General features: G+C 40.3%; 1 long non-coding RNA gene across 3 annotated transcripts in view, besides 1 other annotated feature; it reads left to right on the top strand.

The window, feature by feature from the left end:
* LOC105373324 (uncharacterized) overlaps positions 1-22,294 on the top strand; it is a 29,821-nt gene extending 7,527 nt beyond the window's left edge. Inside the window, exons 1-4 of one of the 3 annotated variants that reach the window (XR_001739241.2) lie at positions 7,104-7,460; positions 15,983-16,313; positions 19,829-20,033; positions 20,308-20,733. This is a non-coding gene — a long non-coding RNA (uncharacterized LOC105373324). Of the gene's footprint in view, positions 1-7,103; positions 7,461-15,982; positions 16,314-19,828 lie in introns of those variants that run through there. The other 2 variants (XR_922689.3, XR_922688.3) reach the window with 2 other exon arrangements.
* Positions 19,770-20,969: an enhancer, noted in NCBI's record as "CDK7 strongly-dependent group 2 enhancer chr2:162049-163248 (GRCh37/hg19 assembly coordinates)". NCBI's record gives its function as "activates an origin of replication core promoter dependent on BRD2, BRD4, P300/CBP, MED14 and CDK7 cofactors, with strong dependence on CDK7, by STARR-seq in HCT116 cells {active_cell/tissue: HCT116}" and the evidence as "EXISTENCE:reporter gene assay evidence [ECO:0000049][PMID:35650434]".
* Positions 22,295-23,617: the final 1,323 nt, after the last annotated feature.

The raw sequence follows: 23,617 nt of genomic DNA, 5'->3' as shown, positions 1-23,617 counted from the left end.
TATCATGTTAGGGCTTCTCAAAGGGAGAAAAAACTGAAAGCAGCAAGACACAATAACAGTTGAGATATGAATCTGAGATATGAATCTGAGAAGTTTTCAAAAGGAAACAGGTTATATAATTAAAATCAAAACCTCTTGTAATTTTATTAAGAGTAAGTTAATAACTTAAGAAAACTATGTTTTAACAGTAGGGGACCAATCTTAGAAAGACTACTATAAATAATTTTCTTTTTGTTGTAGCCAACTTAATTACATATAAAATTTGTTTTGTAAATTTTCTTTTACAAACCTCATTATGACTTATGGAGACCATTGACAACATGCTTGGACTTCTTGATGTGTTCTATATGTCCCTCTTTTAAAAATAATCAGTGATTTTACTTCAGAACAAAAATTTGCCATATAAGATTCTTTTTCACACAAAATTATTCTCTTTTTAATAACCTTCCTTACCAAAAATATATCTTCATATCTATAATTTTTTCACAACTGTCTCTTCTACCTACTGATTTCTTTTTATCTTTTTTATAAATAATTCTTAACCTCCAAATTGCATAAAATTATTATTTGTAATAAGAACACAACTTGCATAATTATATATTAACTATACTTCTTATTTTAGTAACTTTAAATTTTAGTTCAAACCAGGAAGCAAGAAATCCTGAACTGTCTATAAGATGTTAGGATTTTATAGATGAAACCACTCTACAATTTTTAGAAATTATGTCTCTATATTGTAACCCTTTCTTAACTGAACATGATCCAGACATCCAATGAGCATCCATTATTTAATTGAAAATAATTTTAAGATTTTAAGTTATGCAAAAAGTTTACCTACAAGCATTTATCTCATTTATGTGTACTCAATTCTTTCATTTTTAACAGCCTATCTAGATTACTTCTGAAAATTAAGATATCAGAAAAAAATCTAGTCATTATTTAAAGTTATTTCTGTTAGCCATTTTTAAAACCTGTGAACATCAAGTTTTTACCAAAGTAAGAATTCTAAAGTTAAAGGAGATAGGTATTTTGCTGATAACTCAGAAGATTCAGCTGTTTTTATTGAGCCAACAATTTTAAATCAATCTCATTTGTCAAAAAACAATCACAGAAACAAAGATTATTCTGTTTTTGGCTGGGTTTCCAGTCCTATAACTCACATGCCAAACATTGACACCCTAAAATGTCCAGCAGAGGCAAATACAAAATAACCATTAAACCCAGGCAAAAACATATGCTGACAATTCTAAATACAGTTCTATTTTTACTGTACCAATAATTTAAAAAGCATTTTATTTATTAAAGATTTTCTTAAGTCTTATGAACTTGAAAAGCATTTGAACTTATTCATTTGATTTATGAGCATTTATTTATAATCTAATTTGGTAGCATGCTAGACACAACACACAACATAATACACATACATATACATCAACACATTAAACATGTATACACACACTAGCAAAGATCCAATAGCTTTTACCTTGAAACTCTAGCCATTAGATAGCATCACAAACTCATGAACATATAAAAGATATATGAACCCAAATTATTTTTGACAAAATTGGGACCTGTCCAAATGGCTACATTTTGTTTGCCCCAGTGGGTAAATCCAATAAAAGCTATGGACCACAATTTTGGGTAAAGCAGTTTTCATGGCAGTTCAATTTTTTAAAATCTTTTTAACTCTTCTTTCTGTTTTAAATGAGCTTTTAATGTTTACATTTTAGCTTGAACTGGATAAATGTATTTAAAAAATCCAAATAACCTTGAATTAGTAGTACTGTAGTGAGCTTTATCTCAACACCAGTAGCTTAATAACTATATAGCATATTCAAAGCAGGCAGAAAAGAAAATGAAGAAATAGACATAGAGAGCTTCAGAGGACTCTATTTAACTCTAAAGTTGCAGGTTAATCATTTCAGTTCTAAATTTTTCTTACTGTAATTTGTCCTTTCGTTTTAAAACATGTGCAAAAAGAAAAAACCTGGCATGCCTTTGAATTTGCCCGTGTTTTTAAACCATTAAATAACAAACAAATGGAAACTGACACAAATGGAGGACTCCCAAACTAATACTCAAAAAGGGAGACAGGAGAGATTTTTTTTTATTATTATACTTTAAGTTTTAGGGTACATGTGCACAATGTGCCAGTTAGTTACCTATGTATACATGTGCCATATTGGTGTGCTGCACCCAGTAACTCGTCATTTAACATTAGGTATTTGTTTTTAGAATATTATCTCACACAATCTGGTACCACAAACGACCTGTGCTAGGTCCAAATGGCACTAAAGCCCAAATGTCAGAGAGAGAGAATCCCACTGTGCACATTTGCTTGACTTACCCAGTCTTGAAGCCATCAACTCCTCAGATACCACTTTTTCTTGCACCAGCTGAGAGTTGCAGGCAGCTGATGCCTCGTAGGGGTGAAAAGGGAAAATCTCCAAGAAAAAGAGTTGTTGGTAGCTGCTGGGACGTTCCTGGAATCCTGGCCCCAGCCACAGGGTCAGATAGCCATGATCAGCTGGCACTCTTGAGCAAGTTGTTGCTCTGCCCAGTAGCGTGAATGGGTAAGTTCTGACATGCTGCTTAGGACAACTTCTCCACCCACTGAAAACTAGGCAGGCTAGATCACCTGAGGTGCACAGCACCATGCTGGGTGCCACAAATTGTAATTGAACCCAGGTTTGGCTGCTTGCTGCTTGAAAACCAAACTCAAGAGACAAGAGTTGGTGGGAACAAAAGTGGGTTTACCCAAAATCTGACAATCTGAGAAGATGGCAGACCAGTGTTGCAAAGAACATCTCAAGTTTCTCAGGCTGGCTGGAAGGTTTTTGTGGGGGGAGGATGTAGAGAAATTATGTGCAGGGCTTGACCATGTGTGGGTCAGTGTGTGTGGTCTCAATGACTGTCTTGAGCAATGGTCACCTGATGGTCTCCCTGGCATCAGCTTGACTGCAACAGGAATGCAGACTCACTGCTCAGAATTCTTCCCAGGGTGGGGTAATCTGCAACCTTGATTCTATGCTTAGTTTTTTAAGGCTGGTTCCTGAAGTTATCTAAGTAAATCATATGACTAAGCATTATTAAAAGCCCAGAATAGAAAAAAGGGAAAATAAAAAGGAAATAAAAGGAGAACAATTGTTTCTCAAGATGGGGTGGTAATTTAGGTTACATCTTCTCCAATGGGAAGCAGTGAGTATTCAGAAATAGTGGAATAATTTGCACTTTTTTTAAAAAAAGTATATTATCTATTTTCCTTTAAATATGCAGCAGAAGTTTACTATTATACAACTAAATTGTGTGGGTTCTCTAATTGCCCACCTAGATTAATATGTGGTTTATTTCACCTTGATGTTTTTAAAGAAAAGCCTGTGCTGTGTGAGGTTTAGAGCACGCACCATAAATAAGGAGGCTTGAGATGGCTGTGCCTTCCGGAAATGCCATGACCCAGGACCTACGCAGGGCCCACTGCTCTGAATCTTAACGCTTCTGAAATGGCTGTGCCTCCTGGAAATGCCATGACCCAGGACCTACGCAGGGCCCACTGCTCTGAACCTTAACGCTTCTGAAATGGCTGTGCCTCCTGGAAATGCCATGACCCAGGACCTACGCAGGGCCCACTGCTCTGAACCTTAATGCTTCTGAAATGGCTGTGCCTCCCCGGAAATGCCATGACCCAGGACCTACGCAGGGCCCACTGCTCTGAATCTTAACACTTCTTAAATGGCTGTACCTCCTGGAAATGCCATGACCCAGGACCTACCCAAGGCCCACTGCTCTGAACCTTAACACTTCTGAAATGGCTGTGCCTCCCCGGAAATGCCATACCCCAGGACCTACGCAGGGCCCACTGCTCTGAACCTTAACACTTCTGAAACGGCTGTGCCTCCTGGAAATGCCATGACCCAGGACCTACGCAGGGCCCACTGCTCTGAACCTTAACACTTCTGAAACGGCTGGATGTCTCTGCATGAGCTGTGCTTACCCAGTTGTTCCATTTATTCTTATATTTTACAAGCATTTAGTAAATTCTTGAGCTAGGCCCTGGGGACTACCAAAGGAATAAGATATCTGTTATTTTTATTTTATTTTATTTCAATAGTTCTGGGGAACAGGTGGTTTTGGTTACTTGCGTAGGTTCTTTAGTGATGGTTTCTGAGATTTTGGTGCACCCATCACCCAAACAGTGTACACTGTACCCAATGTGTAGTCTCTTATCCCTCACCCCCTCTCACCTTTCCCCCTAAGTCTCCAAAGTCCATTTTATCATTCTTATGCCTTCGAATCCTCATAGCTTAGGTCCCACCTATAAGTGAGAACATATAGTATTTGCTTTTCCATTTCTGAGTTACTTCACTAGAATAATGGTCTGCAACTCCATCCAGGTTGCTGCAAATGCCATTATTTTTTTACTTTTTATGGCTGAGTAGTATTCCATGGTGTGTGTGTGTGTGTGTGTGTGTGTGTGTGTGTGTATACATATATATATATAATATATATAATATTTTATTTATTCACTCGTTGGTTGATGGGCATTTAGTCTGGTTCCATATTTTTGTAATTGTGAATTTTGCTGCTATAAACATGTGTGTGCAAGAAGACATCTGTTCTTAAATTGCTCTCAATTTAGTTAGGAATACTTAAAATGGCTACACTGCAGGATAGAAAGTGTGCACAAATGATCACCTTTTAAATAGATGCATGAGAAGAAAGAACTCTGAAACGCAGTGATAAGTATGGTTCAGTGGAGCCCTCAGGACCTATCTCAGTGTGTTCCTCTAGCATCTCTTCTAGTTTCCTCATGCACTCTACTTTCTAGCTGCACCTGCATTATGCTTAGCACCTGTCCTATTCCCTCCTTTACTCTGAACCCCAGGTTCCCCTGTGTTTTCATGAGCACCTGTCCTATTCCCTCCTGCACTCTGCTCTCTAGCTGCCCCTGTGTTCTCCTTAGCCCCTGACCTACTCCCTTCTGCACTCTGCTCTCCAGCTCCACCTGCATGTTCCTTAGCACCTGGCCTATTCCCTCTTGCACTCTGTGTTCCAGCTCCACCTGCATGTTCCTTAGCACCTGTCCTATTTCCTCCTTCACTCTGCTCTCCAGCAGCACCTGTGCACCCACAGGTGGCTTTCCAGCTGTGCCTCCTGCCTATGCCCTGAGGAGCTCAGCACCCAAGAGTGAATGGATCAAATTACTGACTCCTTTTTGGTGTCGATCATCATTCTAGGCTCTTCATACACAACGTAAAAGGCAACACATTGCTACCTTTATTCAACTAGAAGGAAATTAAACTTCATAAAAGTTATACCCAGAGACCTAGTGCATGGAAAAGGGGTTTGTGCAATTCTTTCCACTGCTGCTTTTTATACTCAGTGCCCTATTCCTCCCTGAAAGAAATTCTGTTCCAAAATGCTGCAGTCACTGAGATTCTTCACTTTCTTTTCTCTCTCTCTTATTTATTTGGCCTATTTTTTATTTTTTTATTTTTTTGAGACAGAGTCTCATTCTGTCACCCAGGCTGGAATGTGGTGGCTCAATCTTGGCTCACTGCAACCTCCACCTTCCAGGTTCAAGCAATTCTGCCTGAGCCTCCCAAGCAGCTGGTACTGCAGGCAAGCACCACTACGCCAAGCTAATTTTTGTATTTTTAGCAGAGATGGTTTCACTGTGTTTCCCAAGCTGCTCTCAAACTCCTGACATCAAGTGATCCACCTGCCTCAACCTCCCAAAGTGCTGGGATTACAGACATGAGCTACCATGCCCAACCTTCACTTTCTTCTCTGAGTCAGAGATCTCTAGCAAGATAGCCTTTTCACAATTTTTATTGCAATAGAAGTATTTGAGACCTTTGTCAGGTTAAACTGTTGTGAGTTAAAGGTATGTCTGTTTTTCTGAGATACACTGAATTTAGGAATGTATGACTCAGTAATGAAAACTTGATCTGGCATCACCCTAGGCATTTGAGCTCCCAGACAGAGAAGGATCTGTTTTTCCAATCACTGACAAAGCCTGGCATGATCATGGTTCGCAGGAATGCAGCACCCCAAGAGGACCCTAGCAATTGGGAGAATTTTGTTTATATGACACTAAGCCCCAAATGACCTTAAATTCTAAATAAAAGTTCCATGGGCAATTTGTATAAGGGCCTTGTTTTTAAAGAAAATAAATTATATGACAGGTTTGTTATATATATATTACAAACTATACTGGTGAACATTTTACTCAACATTTAAAAATCTTTAATTAAGACCTTTCAGTACATAAAGCTTACATAACAAAGTCTAGCAAAAGTCTATAAAATCTAAACACATTTCTAAAAGAAAGGGTGGTGCCACGAAAGTTTACATGCTGAGGCTTTCAGGGTGGCTATGCTGTGTTGGATGTGGGTGGTGTTCTCTCTCTCGTGGTTTTGCTTCTTATGTGACAGTTCCGGCTCACGAGAGCTCTCTGGGCCCGTCTGTTGGCTTGCATCCTGTGGCGTTTGGCAAGTGAGATCTGTTTAATACAAAGTGTCAATAAAGCCAAGGTTATGATAGTTAAAAATAATCGATACTAATTCCCTAGAAATTTTGTCTTTTTTACCAAGCCACTGGTGCAATGTGGAGTCACTACATTTTATGCAAGAAGAATAACACCCTCACTCCACAGTCTGAACCAGAACTGACACTCGGTGGTGATTCCCCCTTTATTCTAGGAGGTGTTAACATTAGCTATGGCAATGTAAAACCGATGTTTTTGGAAGCAGTAGGGGCAGGGAATGGAAAATCCTCTGCAGCTGTCAACATGGGGAGTGAGACAATGCTCGTGTTGACTTGTGGAACTGGATGAGAATCTACTGCTCCTTCTCTAGTGACAGTCTCTGTCATTTGCATAGAAGGTTAAACGCAGGGAGGGCACGGGGGTTCCATGTAAACTTCAGTAAGTTGCATAAACAGAGGCGGCGATGTTTTATGTCTCTGATCTTTTCCAAGGACATCTGGCCTCTGGGTTGCAGCGCAATGCTCACTAACAGAAGCTGACTCATTTGTGTTATGTCTCTGATCTTTTCCAAGGACATCTGGCCCCTGGGTTGCAGCGTGATGCTCACTAACAGAAGCTGACTCAGTTGTGTTTTCTGGTTTTGGGGAATATCTTTAATCACCACATGAATGTTTATAAACTGTTGGGGCTAAACATGAAACTCACTCTTCAGGTGCCGTCTCCACCTAGCCACCGTGTACATTTTCTTTCTCTCTCTTGCAGCTGTTCTCTTCCTACGGACTGAATGAAAAATAAAAGGAAGTCATTTCTGCATGTGTCACAGAGGCATCCTTTGGTTCTAAAGGAAGCTAAGTTGGATTCCACAAGCCCATGGTCCTTATAGCATGTGAATAGGATTCAGTCACGGACGAGAAGGAAGAGGTTCAGGAGAGACTGTAATCGCCCTGTCCAGGCTAACCCTCCAGCTGTGCAGGTGACAAGCTTGCCTGTGTTTGTGTTGTGTAAGTGTGTGCGGTACAGCTGCTAATGTAGTGTCCGGAAACATCTTACAAAGTAAGCCTTCCCCTACATGTAGTTTTATGTGGGTATAAATTCATTTCAGTTCTTGACATGAACATTTGTACAGTGCTTCCAAGTGAGGCTTTGACTGCCTCACATCTGGAATCCTTCAAGTTTATCCTTCTTGGAGTCAGTGTCGTGAACGTTTTTCCCCCAGGTCAAGAGTCTGCTGTCAACATGATGTTCTCTAATTACATGGCTTTGTACAACTCCCAGCTCTGTGGACATATGTTTTTGTATTTAAGGCATTCCTTCTTTTACCTCTGTTTATAGATCATCCTTGACTCTGCTCTTTTCCCACTGCCTTTATCTCAGGTCCTTCCCAAGGTTTTGTGCTGGCTGACTTCTTTTAAGTAATGGAAGAAGAGGACGTGGGGTCAGTCAGCCCAGCTTCTGATCCCTTCTCCACCCATTACTTGGCAAATTAAAGCTGTGTTTAGGCTTCATTTGTTTCGTCCTGGATTTCTCAAGAGTTACAATTTTTAGATATATTAATTACAATTATAGAGTTGTTTAAAGATCAAACAAGGCAATGTATATTGATGTGTTTTGTAATCTTTAAAACTCAATAGAAATGTAAGATCTTGCTATTACTATATAATTGTAAAATCTTCCATTTCTTGCTTTTTCTTTGGTTGCTGGCCTAGAAATTGAATCAATTCTCTTCTCTTTTTATTTTTTAAAAAATAATCTTGAGCATATGAAATTGCTGATATTTTAATATATTGCTAATGTTTGATCTATTCAAATGGTAGCTTCCTGTGGTTTCTTCTAATAGTTAAAACTATGTCAGGTCAGGCATGGTGGCTCATGCCTACAATCCCAGCACTTTGGGAGATCAAGGCAGGCAGATCACCTGAGGTCAGGATTTCAAGACACGCCTGGCCAACATGGTGAAACCCCGTCTTTACTTAAAATACAAAAGTTGGCAGGAGAATCACTTGAACCCAAGAGACAGAGGTTGCAGTGAGCCAAGATCACACCACTGTACTCCAGCCTGGGTAACAGATTGAGACTCCGCCAAAAAAAAAAAAAATATATATATATATATGTGTGTGTGTGTGTGTGTGTGTGTGTCTGTGTGTGTGTGTGTGTGTGTGTATATGTATATATATATATATATATATATATATATATATATCAAAGTGATATATTTGTATAGTGAAACCCCAGACACTACCACTAAGTGAATGATGATATAAAACTCTTATTTCTTATTTTGCTACAATGTTAGGTTCTCAACAATCATTCTGCCTCCCAGTTTACCTTGGTCTTTTTTCCCATTGGGATTGGTTTCCCTGAAATGTCTGGTGATTCTTCATTGTTCACATTTAATAGTGACACATGAAGAAGGAGAATGAGTCTGTGTTATCATTAGTGAAAGGCTCATCTAGAGGTGATTCTTCACTGTTCACATTTAATAGTGACACATGAAGAAGGAGAATGAGTCTGTGTTATCATTAGTGAAAGGCTCATCTAGAGGTGATTCTTCACTGTTCACATTTAATAGTGACACATGAAGAAGGAGAATGAGTCTGTGTTATCATTAGTGAAAGGCTCGTCTAGAGGTGATTCTTCACTGTTCACATTTAATAGTGACACATGAAGAAGGAGAATGAGTCTGTGTTATCATTAGTGAAAGGCTCATCTAGAGGTGATTCTTCACTGTTCACCTTTAATAGTGACACATGAAGAAGGAGAATGAGTCTGTGTTATCATTACTGAAAGGCTCATCTAGAGGTGATTCTTCATTGTTCACCTTTAATAGTGACACATGAAGAAGGAGAATGAGTCTGTGTTATCATTAGTGAAAGGCTCATCTCGAGGTGATTCTTCACTGTTCACATTTAATAGTGACATGTGAAGAAGGAGAATGAGTCTGTGTTATCATTAGTGAAAGGCTCATCTAGAGGTTTTGCTTCAGGGAGTCGATGGGGTTTCCACATGTTAGTAAGTGATGCGTTTGGTCTCAATGGTTTCCTTTCTCTGGAGAAAACCTTCTCCTCTCCTCTCTGGAAGGCAGCTGCTTGCTTGTTGGTTGTTGGTGTTCTACTCACTGGTTACCCGAGGGGTGGGGTGCAGGCATCGGTGAGGGAGGATAATGAGGGTTGACTGTCAATGTACAGATTTTAATCGACCCTCCTGTTTTCTGACGCCTGCCTCACTTCTCCGCCCCTCACCCCCAGGAAGGTGCACAGATGATGCTCCTTCTCGCGGATGCGAGGCCACCAAATCAATTTTTGTCTTTGCTGTTCTCTCTCCATGATGGATAACCATCATGGTTTCTTGGGAGGGAAAGGAAACAACTGGGTCAGTATTTCATCTACCATCTTTAACTTGGAAGCTTCTTCTTCCAGCTAAAGCTAGAATAGCAAAGCTTGAGAAAGGGTTTTGAAAATATTTCATAACTCAACTTTTTGGGATGATTTGAACATCTTAAGGCACTAAGTTACTGGGTTTTCTGAAAATGGTGATGGGGAATCATTAATTATTAATTAATCTCTGCTTTGTTTTAAATATATTGCACCAGGTTTGTGTGTTATAATCCCCACTCAAAAAGTACAGATTTTTTGATATAATTTTTTTTTGAAGAAATATCTTAACTACTCTACAATGCCACACTTAGGATGTGGGCAAATCTTTATTTAAGACAAAATGTATTATTTCTCTTTATGTAAATTAAGATATTGTGCCTTGAAAAATCATTCATTTGGGAATTTTTAAATCTTTCTCAGTTTTCTTGAACCTTTTGTGTAAGAGAAATGACCTTATATTTGTCAATTATTTCTACTAAACACTTAGCTGTGAGCATGAAAGAAACGGGCAGTTCTGTTACAAGAAAAAGTGGAGAAGGTGGTATCACTATTACTCTTTCATGGACGGGCAAACAGTTCAGGAATTTCCCAGAACCGAGGTTTTCTGTCTTATAATTGGGTGTTCTTTGTCTCATAACGTGCGCTTCATCCTTCTGTATGAATTTCTTTGCTCAGCCTGACTATGAATGTCGGCTCTCACATGCTAAGCACACATTAATTTCTCTTATCCTTTATTCCCACCTAGTGTGCGGGTGGTTTTGAGAGGATTCTGTATGGCCTGGTCCTCAGGTGCTTGGCAAAATGGGTCCACCCCCTCCCGGGTAACCCTGGCTCTAGGCCCTCTTCCATGTCCTGGCCTTCCCCAGTAGTCCCCTGGAGCCCTCTGGTGACCAAAACTCCACAGTGAAGCGCCTCCAGGAATGGTGGCCGGTGAAGGGTTCCCAGTTCAGGACACGTTATTCCTTTTCTGTAAAAACGGCACCACTTTCAGCTAGACTCTCAGGCAAAGGCACAGAAAATTATCTGATTAGACTCATGATCTTTTAGAGGTTTCCTATCGCTGAGGTCATCTGAGCCAGTAGTTTTCGAAATGAGTTGAGGGCTTCATATCCTAAAATGTTGCATTTAAATTCTAGTTAAAAATAGTTTAACTACTGCATTTTTCCATTCTAAGACACATTTTTTTCATGTTTTGCTTTTTCTGGAGTTAGCATGCGTCTTATAATTGATATACTTCATTTAATATGATGAGATCTCTTCTATTCTTCTAAAAAATTATCAATACATTCATGATTAATATTGATTTAATAGCATCTCAGAATGTAAAACATCCAGGTTGCGATCATTAATTCTTCTACAATATTTAGATGCAAGAAGGTCATATTTCTTTCTTTCTTTCTTTTTTTTTTTTTTGAGATGGCGTCTCGCTCTGTCGCCCAGGCTGGAGTGCAGTGGCGCGATCTCGGCTCACTGCAAGCTCCGCTTCCCGGGTTCACACCATTCTCCTGCCTCAGCCTCCCGAGTAGCTGGGACTACAGGCGCCCGCCACCACACCCGGCTAATTTTTTGTATTTTTAGTAGAGATGGGGTTTCACCGTGTTAGCCAGGATGGTCTCGATCTCCTGACCTCGTGATCCGTCCCCCTCGGCCTCCCAAATTGCTGGGATTACAGGTGTGAGCCACCGCACCTGGCCATATTTCTTTCTTTTTATAAGTCAAATTATATCTAACAGAAACTCCCATGTATCAAGATGTGGAAGATTCCAATTCACGGAGGTTCCTCGTCAGATTCTGTGCCAGACACTGGAGGCTGGTATGGTGGGACTTCATGCTCCTCACCTTCCTGTCTCACTACTTTTCTTGTGACTGCCAATTGCTGGCCCTTTACTCTGAAGTGGGTGAGAGGACCACTGCCCCTGCTACTGGGGAGGGGATGCTCCTCACAGCACGAGAAGTGCCAAGAAGGCAGCAGTCAAACACTGGAACCTTGGCCACACCAACCACATCTGGGGAATTGCATGTGACTAGGGCCTAGCCCAATAGGAATGCTCCTCTTCTGGGAACATCTCCCCAGTATCTTCATTTTGTTTTCCCATTGGCTAGTCCAGCTTAACCCCTTAGACGATTCTAGATCTCCCCAGAAAATACCTAGGTGAGAGTTATCCAGGCAAATTCTCTCCCTCCTTTAAACCCCTAAAGGCTATAATGTGTGTGTGTGTGTGTGTGTGTGTGCGCGTGTGCGTGTGTGTGTGTGTTACAGAGGTCTAATCTGCAGAAGCACAGCTTGGCCTTCAGGAAATAGATGGGAAAAGGGAAAAGGGCCGCTTTATTATTTCCTCGTGCCTTCAAAGCACACACAAAGAAGGTATCAGTACTTTGTCTAATAATTCCTCTGTAACATTGAGCATTTAAAAGTTATTATAATACATTTAAATACCTTGCCCATACAAGTGCATTATAAAATGTAGCAGTAATGAAACAATTAAATGTCCCAACTTAACCTGTCTTCTGGTAAGCCATGAAATAAATTTCTCCCACGACCTCTATGTATATGTTTACCATTTGTGCAAATATACCACCAAATAGTGATTGCAGACAATTTTTATTTTGTCAACAGTCCACTCGTGTAAAATTACACACAAAAATACTACTATAACCCATGTTCATTGCCAGATCCAATTCAATGTAAACCAAGGCCCATTTGTTCACGCATGTGTTTTTATTCTTTTGTCTGTTCCTTTTCTGACTTACATATTTATAATACAGAATGTGAGAACAGTTAGTTCTTTGTGATTATTTAGCTTTAAGACATAGAAAACTGTTCTAGAACCTTTAAAGAGAAATTGCAGGAATTTTTTTAAAGTCCCTTGAAATTACAAGTCAAGATTTTTAAAATTATTATTCTTTGAAACTAATTTTCTGTGTACATCAAGATTTATCAATAGCATGTGAACAAAATAGGAAAGTATGGCCACCTCATGTTGCTTATTTCTTTTATAATAACTAAGTCCTATAAATTGAGCTCACAAAATATTTATATTAATAAAATTATAATTTATCATTTGTAATGTTTGGGTTTTTCTTGTACATTTTTATGTAACAAGAAACAAGTTTTTACTGTTAAAAATGGTTTTAAAAAAATCGGAGCAAGCCTAAGCCCCTTCATTTTATGAATACAATAACCTGAGGCTCATCAGGGCTGGTGACTCACACAGGCGCACACTCAGCATTGCTGGATGTCAGCTCAGGATCCAGAATGCATTTGGACATTTCATGCTAAATTAATAAATGCACTTTAAAATAGGCCCATATTAATCCCAAAGTAACTAAACCTGTGGAATTTGTAAAAGAAGATGTGTATGAATGAGGACATGGCATTTCGACATTAGATCTGATTCTCCCCTTTCTAAAAGCAGAATTGACAGTCTCTATTTTCCCGTTGTGAGATTTCAGAGGAGAGCCTGGTGGCACTTACAGCAGACATCACAGATGTCTCAGCATTTTGGATGAGAATGGTAAAGACCTTCTTTGTTTCATAAAACCTTCATTTTCCAGGGGAGAAAACACAGGTTGAGTCTAAAATCAAGCCTCCTATTGAAATATTTTAATGACGTTGAAAGAGGTTGTTGCATTTGGCAGGTGCACTTGGAGCCATGTGGTCCTGCACTGAAGCCTGACTTCTGAGCGGAGCTAGAGGAGAATTATGTTAATGTGTTTGCACTACTCGCTCAGTTGTAAAAAATTACAAATATATTTAAGCAATGTTTTTTAATGAGGATAAAAGAGTTTAACAATGTTTACACACCTGTTTTAGTTATTACATTCTCTAAGCTATTTTTATCCTCACAACCATGTAAGCATCCCACCCTCTCCATTTCAAAAAGTAGACAGTAACTGAACAAAGCTGTCTACTTTTTTAAAACATGATTTATTTCATTATGAAAGTTCATAGTTTATGTAATTATTATCTTTTTGTGGTCTGCATTCAATGGGTTTGGCATCTGCACACTGTCGTGGGTCCACCGTTGTGGTGAAATCGCACACAATGGTCTCACTGCCCTAAACATCCGGAACTCTCTGACCATCTATCCTTCCCTCTCCTCAACCCCTACCAACCACCGATCATTTTACTATCTGTGTAATTTTCCCTTTTCCAAAATGTCACATAATTGGAATCATACAGTATGTAGCCTTTTTGGCTTTTTTCGTTAGTAATGTGCATTTTGGGTCCCGGTATGCCTTTTCATGACTTGATAGGTCTTTTCTCACTGAATGATATTCCATTGTCTGTAGATATCAGAATTTATTTCTCCATTCACCTACTGAAGGACATGTTGATCACCTCCAGTTTCTGGTAATCCTGAATAAAGCTTTTATAAACATTTGTGTGCAAGTTTGTGTGTGGACATAACTCTTCAACTCCACTGGGTAAATAATGAAGAGCACAATTGCTAAATCTTATAATAAGACTATGTGAGCTTTGTAAAAAACTGCCAAACTGTCTTCCAAAGTGGCTGTGCCATTTTGCATTCCCACAGCAATGAATGAGAGTTCTTGTTGCTTCACATCCTCACCAGCATTTGGTGTTTTCAGACTTGTGGATTTTGGCCATTCTAATAGGTGTGTAGTGGTGTCTTATTGTTGTCTTAATTGGCAGTTCCTAATAACATACAGAGCATCTTTTCATATAGTTAGTTTCCATCTGCATATCTGTTCAGCTTTTGCCCATTTTTAATTGGGTTGTTTGTTTTCCTCTTGTTGAGTTTTAACAGTTCTTTGCATATTTCAGATACGAATCCTTAGATATATTTTGCAAATATTTTCTCACAGTTTGGGATTTGTCTTTTTATTCTCTTAATGGTATCTTTTGCAAAACAAAAGTTTTTCATGTTAATGAAATTCAGCTTACCAATTTTTGTCTTCGTGGATCATGCTTTTGGTGTTGTATCTTTAAAAAGTCACCAAATCCAAAGTTAACTAGATTTTTTCCTTATGTTATCTTCTAGAAGTTTGAAAATTTTACATTTTATATATTGGTCTAATATCTACTTTGCATTAATTTTTGTAAGAAGTATAAGGTCTGTTTTTAGATTCTTTTTTTTTTTCTTTTTTGCATATGGATGCCCACTTGTTCCGGCACCATTTGTTAAAAAGACTCTCCTTTCTCCATTGAATTGCTTTTGCTCCTTTGTCAGAGATTAGTCGGCTGTATTTCAGTCTGTTTCTGGGCTCTCTGTTGTGTTCCACTGATGTGTGTGTATGTGTCTTCTGTTTTGTCTTCGATTTTAAAAAATATCTAATTGCTACCTCAATTTGCTTATGAATTCTCATTTGTAAACAGAAAAGCATAAATTAATGCCTGAGTATCTTTTAGTGCAGATGTTGCATTGAATATAATGAGCAGAATGAGTTAAAATGTAAGAGTGAATATAAAAATTTGACCATAGTGGTAACAAATTTGCAAAGTAGTGATGTCAAAGACAGAGTCCATTGCAATATTGCTTCCTCCTTTGGCTCAGCTGTGCTTCACACCAGGCAAGGACCAATCCCTTTTGTGCTTCATTCAAGGATTTCTGTGGGGTGGAAAGCAGAAATATCATGAGATCAGTGGAGGGAAAGAAGACAGTTTTCCAGGCTGGGAGCAGTCAGATCTCCGGTGGGTCCCAACACTGCTCTGTAGCAATGCCTAGAGGGTGATGGAAACAGAGACAGAGTGAAAATGAGGTTGGTGCTGGCCTCAGGGTTCCCAGTGTTACCAGATTCACATGGTCTATAAGACCCCCGAAATGAGACCTTCTGGGCTTTGGGGGCCCCTGCGGAACTGGAAAATGGGGAAGTGAGCAGTGACAATCTAGACTGATTATTAGAGGTGTGTCTCCCACTTTTCAGAAACCAAGGAGCCTTTGATCAGTAGTGTAATTGTGGCACCCCAACAATGGTGGAGTGGAATGTCCTGCCATTCTTGAGGGTCGATGGCTCAGGGTCAAGAATGAACTGATCAGAAAAAAAAAAAAAAAAAGAAAAGGTTTTTCTTTTTTTGCGTATCTGATTTTGTGAATGAAGAGCTACACAGCTGTGAAATGTGCAAATCATTGGCTGTTGTTTCTTATGTGCACACCAGGAGTATCAAGTCCAAAAAGAAGCTCTTCAAACCATCTGGGAAGAGAAAACAGCATGACAAGGAAAGGTGTATTTGTCTGATTCTAGGAATCAATATAAACATCCATGATAACCCCATCTAATTTTTAAATGTATGATTTGGATGAAACAAGAGAAGACACTGATTGTTGCTGAGTCCCTGCTGTAGTCCTGACACAGCTGGAGATGCCCTGCTCTCCTTATTTTCTTGATGCTCATGAGGACCCTGATGTCTAAGGAAGAAGGTTCTCGTCCAGGTCTGCCCCTGGTGTGTCACGTGCCAGCCTTGTCAATGCACACGAGAACCTGACAGGGTGAGTGTTATAACCCAATCATAGGAAAGGAAACTGGCTCTAAAGAAAGTGTTTGGCATCTTGCCCAAGTTCTGACACTTAGCAGAGGCCTGAGTTTAAATGCAGCCTCGTCTTGCTCTTTGACAGCCTCAGCACCACATGCTCTGGGTGGCCCACGCAGTGAGTCACTGACAGCCCTCGTGGTTGGCCCGTGGCACAGCATAGAGCGAAATGGTCCAGTGACCTTTTCAGACACTTGGGCAATTCGTGGTATAGTGTATGCGGTCACTCCCAGTGAGTCCTATTGTTCAGTTTAATAGAATACCTAATTCTATGTTTATTCTGAATAAAGGGAGATTTCTTGTGGTTTTTAAGAATATGAAGCATATCTATTTTGCCTACAAGTTGGAAGTTCCGATACTATAGGAAGCATAAGTGCAGGTTTTAATGATGGGTCTTTTATAAGACTGAATTCACATCAAACTGAATCAGTAACTCCAGATGTATGAACAGGGTGAGACATTAAACATTTAATGAAGAAATTTCTTTCTTAGGCCACAGCAAAGACTAGATATAGCTAATTATCATGCCCACTAAGATGTATTGTGATATTTGCAGTTAATCACTCATTCAGTTCAAAAGGTATTTATTAATTGTCTGCTCTGGGCATAATATCAATTGGAAGCAGTGTGTTCACATGAAAAAAAACTTACCTGAGGCTCTAAGTCACAACTTTCCATGACCAGCACATGTTTCTAATTTGAAATACATATCTAAAGCTTAAAATGCATAAGTAGATATCACAATCTAGAACTAAATTAATAGTTGCTTTGAATTAATTGTTTAAATTATCCTGGGAATCAGAAAGGTATATCTACATGAAACAATAAAGTCTATATTAGAATAAGTAAATTTTAGAAGAGCATTTTAATCTTAATATATAAACATACTACCTAGGCACACTGTTTAAATACATCTGCAATGTACTATTTTTAGATTTAAGTAAATCATTAAACCTTAAAGTTGGAAAAGATTGCAGTGTTAGACCTCTAGACTATAAAACCTGAACGTTTTTCTAAAAGTTTTGAGTTTTTATCCAGAAATACAGATTTTCCTAGCACTGAGAACTGCAAGAAATTTCACTTGGAGTATCCACATAGTCAACCATGTGATGTCAACATCAGTGTAATAGATACTATCACAAGCATCCTGTGACTTTTATATTTCTTTTATTTATTATTATACTTCAAGTTCTGGGATACATGTGCAGAACGTGCAGGTTTGTTACACAGGTATACACGTGCCATGGTAGTTTGCTGCACCCATCAACCTGTCATCTACATTAGGTATTTCTTCTAATGGTATCCCTCCCCTAGACCCCTAACTCCCAACAGGCCCCAGTGTGTGATATTCCCCTCCCTGTTTCCACGTGTTCTCATTGTTCAACTCCCACTTATGAGTGAGAACATGTGATGTTTGATTTTCTGTTCCTGTGTTAGTTTTCTGAGAATGATGGTTTCTAGCTTCCTCCATGTCCCTGCAAAGGACATAAACTCATCCTTTTTTATGACTGCATAGTATTCCATGGTGTATATGTGCCATCTTTTCTTTATCCAGTCTATCATTGATGGGCATTTGGGTTGGTTCCAAGTCTTTGCTATTGTGAATAGTGCTGCAATAAACATATGTGTGCATGTGTCTTTATAGTAGAATGATTTATAATCCTTCAGGTATATACCCAGTAATGGGATTGCTGGGTCAAATGTATTTCTGGTTCTAGATCCTTGAGGAATCGCCACACTGACTTCCACAATGGTTTAACTAATCTACACTCCCACCAACAATGTAAAAGTGTTCCTATTTCTCCACATCCTCTCCAGCATCTGTTGTTTCCTGACTTTTTAATGATTGCCATTCTAACTGGCACGAGATGGTATCTCATTGTGGTTTTGATTTGCATTTCTCTAATGACCAGTGATGATGAGCTTTTTTACATATGTTTGTTGTCTGCATAAATGTCTTCTTTTGAGAAGTGGCTGTTCACATCCTTTGCCCACTTTTTGATGGGGTTGTTTTTTTCTTGTAAATTTGTTTAAGTTCCTTGTAAATTCTAGATATTAGCCCTTTGTCAAATAGATAGATTGCAAATATTTTCTCCCATGTAGGTTGCCTGTTGACTCTGATGATAGTTTCTTTTGCTGTGCAGAAGCTCTTTAGTTTAATTAGATCCCATTTGTCAATTTTGGCTTTCATTGCCATTGCTTTTCATGTTTTAGTCATGAAGTCATTGGCCATGCCTATGTCCTGAATGGTATTGTCTAGGTTTTCTTCTAGGGTTTTTATGGTTTTATGTTATATTTAAGTCTTTAACCCATCTTGAGTTAATTTTTATATAAGGTATAAGGAAGGGCTCCAGTTTCAGTTTTCTGCATATGGCTAGCCAGTTTTCCCAGCACCATTTATTAAATAGGGAGTCCTTTCCCAGTTGCTTGTTTTTGTCAGGTTTGTCAAAGATCAGACAGTTGCAGATGTGTGGCATTATTTCTGAGGCCTCTGCTCTGTTCCATTGGTCTATATGAAGATCAGTGATATGTCACTGGAACTTAATTTAATCCTTGCTTGAGGTTAACAAGTTAAGCTTCTCATTTGCAGCATACAGCTCAGGCTTTCCTGAAGAAATTTCAGAGGCAGAAAAAGCACAGCCCTTCAAGGCAGTTTGTACCTCCGCTAACCTAATTATTAGAAATGTTTCCTCGTATGAAGTTGAAGTTGGTCTCCCTCCAGCGTACATCCATTGACTCCAGGTTTCTCCACTGGAGCCACAGATGATGAGTCCATGTGATGCTTCCACAGGAAAGCCCTCCACACCTTGGGGTGGCCACTGCCCCATCCCCAGGAAGAAGAGCTGCTATTTTATGCTCCTGAAAAGTCAGATATTTAACTGCATTACCAAGCATCCATTTCATTGGGGGAAAATGTGGTGAAATCAGATTTAAACCACAGAAATAAAAATTTAACCTGTGGATGCATAGCTGTTTTCAAATTTTTACTTTAATATGCAATATCATTGGTCATATTTGTGGAGCTAAAACTAAAAATAAAAAATAATTGTTCTAAAATGCATGAAAATATGGAAAACAATTCCTCATCCCATCTAGATTTTTTGGTAGGGTTAGGAGTCCCAAGGTGGCAGAATCTGTGAGGAAACACAGTCTCTTCCAAATTTTCTTTTCATTTATCATTAAAAAAACAAGTCTATTATTCTTGCACAAATTAAATTTTGACTTACTTTCTTGTGTAGCCAAAAACTATAACTAATATATCCCAAACAGGTTTGTGAAAAACATGTAGCCCCCAAAGTCCTGTTTGTTAAACATTTTGGAAAGCCAAAGTACCAATTGGAAATAGCAGATTTATAGACCAGAGAAATTTCATTTGACCAGAATTCTCATCCCATCCTCCCGAGGTAGTAAATTATGTAGTGTTACAACTCTAACTTAAAACCATTTGTTTTTTGTCTTTGCTCTCCATTGCAGTTTTATGATTTTAGAACATAAGTTTTATGATTGTTAGTGCTGGGCAACAAAAAGGAGTCCAGAGGAACGGGAGAAAAAACAACAATAGCAATGATGTGAATGCAAAACATGAACCAGACTAAGCAGAGCAGAGGGCGGTGTGGAGCGGGAAGCAGAGACAGAAGCTTGTGATGTTTCAGTGATTGCTGGGAGTTATTCATCACCGGTAAGCCTCATGTTCCAAAGACTCATCAGGGCCAGGGGTTAGTTTTACGAGCTCTGTGTAAAAGATCATTACACAGGGCCAGTTAGAGTTCCCGCAGGAAGGAAGCGGCACACCCTATGGGGTGATTAGGAAGAGTGTCATGAAGGGTGCCACACTCACACCCTAGGAAAGAGGAAAGGGGCCCAAGGGGACTCACAGAGGGAGCAGAGGGTCTGTGGGCCACAGCCAGCCCAACCACAGAGTGGCCAGAGTGACATAGGCCCCCTCTCTGCAGGCTGGTCTCCTGCTTGGGTGTGCCCCAAGTCACCCACCCAGAAGTCAAAGGTCGAGCATGCTTTCCATGAAGTCTGGAGGTACAGAGCAAGGCAGACAGCCACGGGCGTGTCAGGAGGGCAGCGGGAAATGCTCATCCCCTTCTCCAAGAAGAGGGAATCCCACCATCCACAGGTTCTTCCTGCTCTGTCTCAAAGGCGGAGGCAGCTAGAATACTCTGTCAAAAAGCAACCACAGGAAGAACATAATGTCAATGCATGGCTTTATGTTAACATAATTACATTTATTCCAGACAAAGGTTTTTTGTAAATTAAAGATAGATTATGTTGCAACTTTTATACTCCTCTGCCTAATTTAGTGAGTATTTGATATATTCAGATTTATTTTAACCAATTAGTTTTTTTTAATAGAGGCAGGGTCTCAGTCTGTCACCTTGGCTGAAGTGCTGGTGTGATCACAGCTCACTACAGCCTTGACCTCCTGGGCTCAAATGATCCTCTCACCTCAATCTCTCAAGTAGCTGGGACTACGGACGAGCACCACCACAATCACCTAATTTTTTTTTTTAATTTTTAGTAGAGACCAGGTCTCACTAACTTGCCCGGGCTGGCCTTGAACTCCTGAGTCCAAATGATCCTCCTGCCTTAGCCTCCCAAAGTGCCTGCAATTACAGACATAAGCCACCGTGCCAGCCGGCTGATTAAATTAATTATATGTGTGCCTTAACTAAAAAATGAGATTGCTCAATATAGAGTAACTTGTTTTTCTTATAGAATTATCAGAAAGTAATGCTTTTTTGAAATGTTGTTTCACTAAAATATTTTTAATTTGTTTTCTTGGTATTTCGTTATGACAATTTTTTCCTTCTACCTCAACTGCCGTACTGTCAGCATTTCCTGAGGGTCCGATAAGTAGGGAAATGCACCAAGAAGCAACGTGGACCAAGCAATAAAAATAAACAAATAAAAGAAGAAAATCCCACTGCAAAAAAGTCTGAAACAGAATTCTTGACTCCCCGACATTCATCCCTGCCTCAGCCTGTCCCCCATTTCACCCTCCTTATTTCCACACAGGGCTGTGCATCCCTACTCGCTCAGATCTAAAACTCTACACCCTATGCCCAACTCCTCTTTCCTGCACACTTCCTACCAGCCCATCAGAAAGCCTGCTGACTCCTCTCCTGAAGCACTGCGTGAGGGTGACCCCTCCTCCCTGTGAGCACCGCAACAGCCCCAGTGGAACCACCATCCCGGCCCCGATGCAACTGTTTCCCCACAGGGTCCCCACACATAGCCATGGTGTATCCCCTCCAAAACACCCACTCTGCCTGAACACTTCCCCAGCTCTTTATATGACTGCCTTCATTGTATCATTCATCTCTTACCTCAATTGAACTTCCTCAAAGAAGTGTCCTCACTTATTCTACATATGACAACATGAGTAACATCACTCCTTTCCCCAGACTCACTCGTCATTCCATTGCATTTCCCATTTTCTACAGTGATCACAAAGTCTGTATCTAATTGGAAAATACTTATCTGCTTTACTTATCATCTGCTTTAATTTTTAAGTTTTCTTTTTTCTTCTGGACATCAACTTCCATGTTGATGGACGCTGTTGAGCATTTCCTAGGAAGTGTTTAGGTTTGAGCTGCAAGAGCTGCCTTGTCCAAGACTGATTTCCACAGGCTGGTCTCCTGCAAAGCCTCATGGCTATGGCCAAGTGCTTAAGCTCAGATGGGGTGGTGAATTGGTGAATTACACCAGAACCCTGCCATGCCATAGAAGCTACAACTGCAAGGTTAGAAGCTCAGTGCCGTGATCTGGCCAAGTGTTGAAACTCAGATGGGGTGGTGAATTGGTGAATCATGTCACGACCCTTCCATGCCGTAGAAGCCACAACTACAAGGCTAGGAACCCAGTGTCCTGTTGAGAGACAGGACTAGCTGGATTTCCTAGGCCAACTAAGAATCCCTAAGCCTAGCTGGGAAGGTGACCACATCCACCTTTAAACACGGGGCTTGCAACTTAGCTCACACCCGACCAATCAGGTAGTAAAGAGAGCTCACTAAAATGCTAATTAGGCAAAAACAGGAGGTAAAGAAATAGCCAATCATCTATCACCTGAGAGCACAGTGGGAGGGACAATGATTGGGATATAAACCCAGGCATTTGAGCCGGCAATGGCTACGCTCTCTGGGTCCCCTGCCTTTGTATGGGAGCTCTGTTTTCACTCTATTAAATCTTGCAACTGCACACTCTTCTGGTACATGTTTGTTACGGCTCGAGCTGAGCTTTCACTCACCATCCACCACGGCTGTTTGTCGCTGATGCAGACCTGCCACTGACTTCCACCCCTCCGGATCTGACAGGGTGTCTGCTGTGCTTCTGATCCAGTGAGGCACCCGTTGCTGCTCCGGATCAGGCTAAAGGCTTGCCATCGTTCCTGCACGGCTAAGTGCCCAGGTTCATCCTAATCGAGCTGAACACTAGTCGCTGTGTTCCACGGTTCTCTTCCATGACCCACAGTTTCTAATAGAGCTATAACACTCACCACATGGCCCAAGATTTTCCATTCCTTGGAATCCGTGAGGCCAAGAACCCCAGTTCAGAGAACAAGAGGCTTGCCGCCATCTTGGAAGTGGCCTGCCACCATCTTGGCAGCTCTGGGAGCAAGGAACCCTGGTAACATTCTGGTAACCATGAAGGGACCTCCAAAGTGGTGAGTAATATTGGACCACTTTTGCTTGCTATTCTGTCCTATCCTTCCTTAGATTGGAGGAAAATACCGGGCACCTGTCAGCCAGTTAAAAACAATTAGCATGGCTGCTGCTAAGACTCAGGTGTGAGGCTGTCTGGAGAAGGGCTTTCTAACAACCCCCAACCCTTCTGTGGTCTGCCTGGAACCAGCTTCCACTTTCAATTTTCTTGGGGAAGCCAAGGGCAGACTAGAGGCAGAAAGCTGTTGTTCCAAACTCCCTGAATTAGCTGGTTGAGATCATGGTGCAGCCAGAAGTCTCTATTCTACATGTGTGCACCCCTACCTTTCCTTCTGACCCATACTTCCTGGGTCCCAACCATGACTTTCTTGAAAGTGTAGCCCCAAAATTCTCCTTACCTCTGAATCTACTTCCTCCAATCCCTGCCTCCTAAGTACTAATGGTTCAGACTTTCCTTTTTCCTCTAGCAAGTTGTATCTCCAAAGGGATCTAGGGAAGCTCTACGCTGCATCCTCAGGCATCTAGGCTATAAACCCAGGGAGTCTTAGTGTCCCTCCTGATTTAGGTATACAGCTCTCAACATGGGCAGTTA

This window comes from Homo sapiens, chromosome 2, assembly GCF_000001405.40.
Source record: "Homo sapiens chromosome 2, GRCh38.p14 Primary Assembly".
NCBI classification, from domain to species: domain Eukaryota; kingdom Metazoa; phylum Chordata; class Mammalia; order Primates; family Hominidae; genus Homo; species Homo sapiens.
The sequence above is the reverse complement of the archived record's forward strand: the minus strand, read 5'-3'. Positions and strand labels throughout refer to the sequence as shown.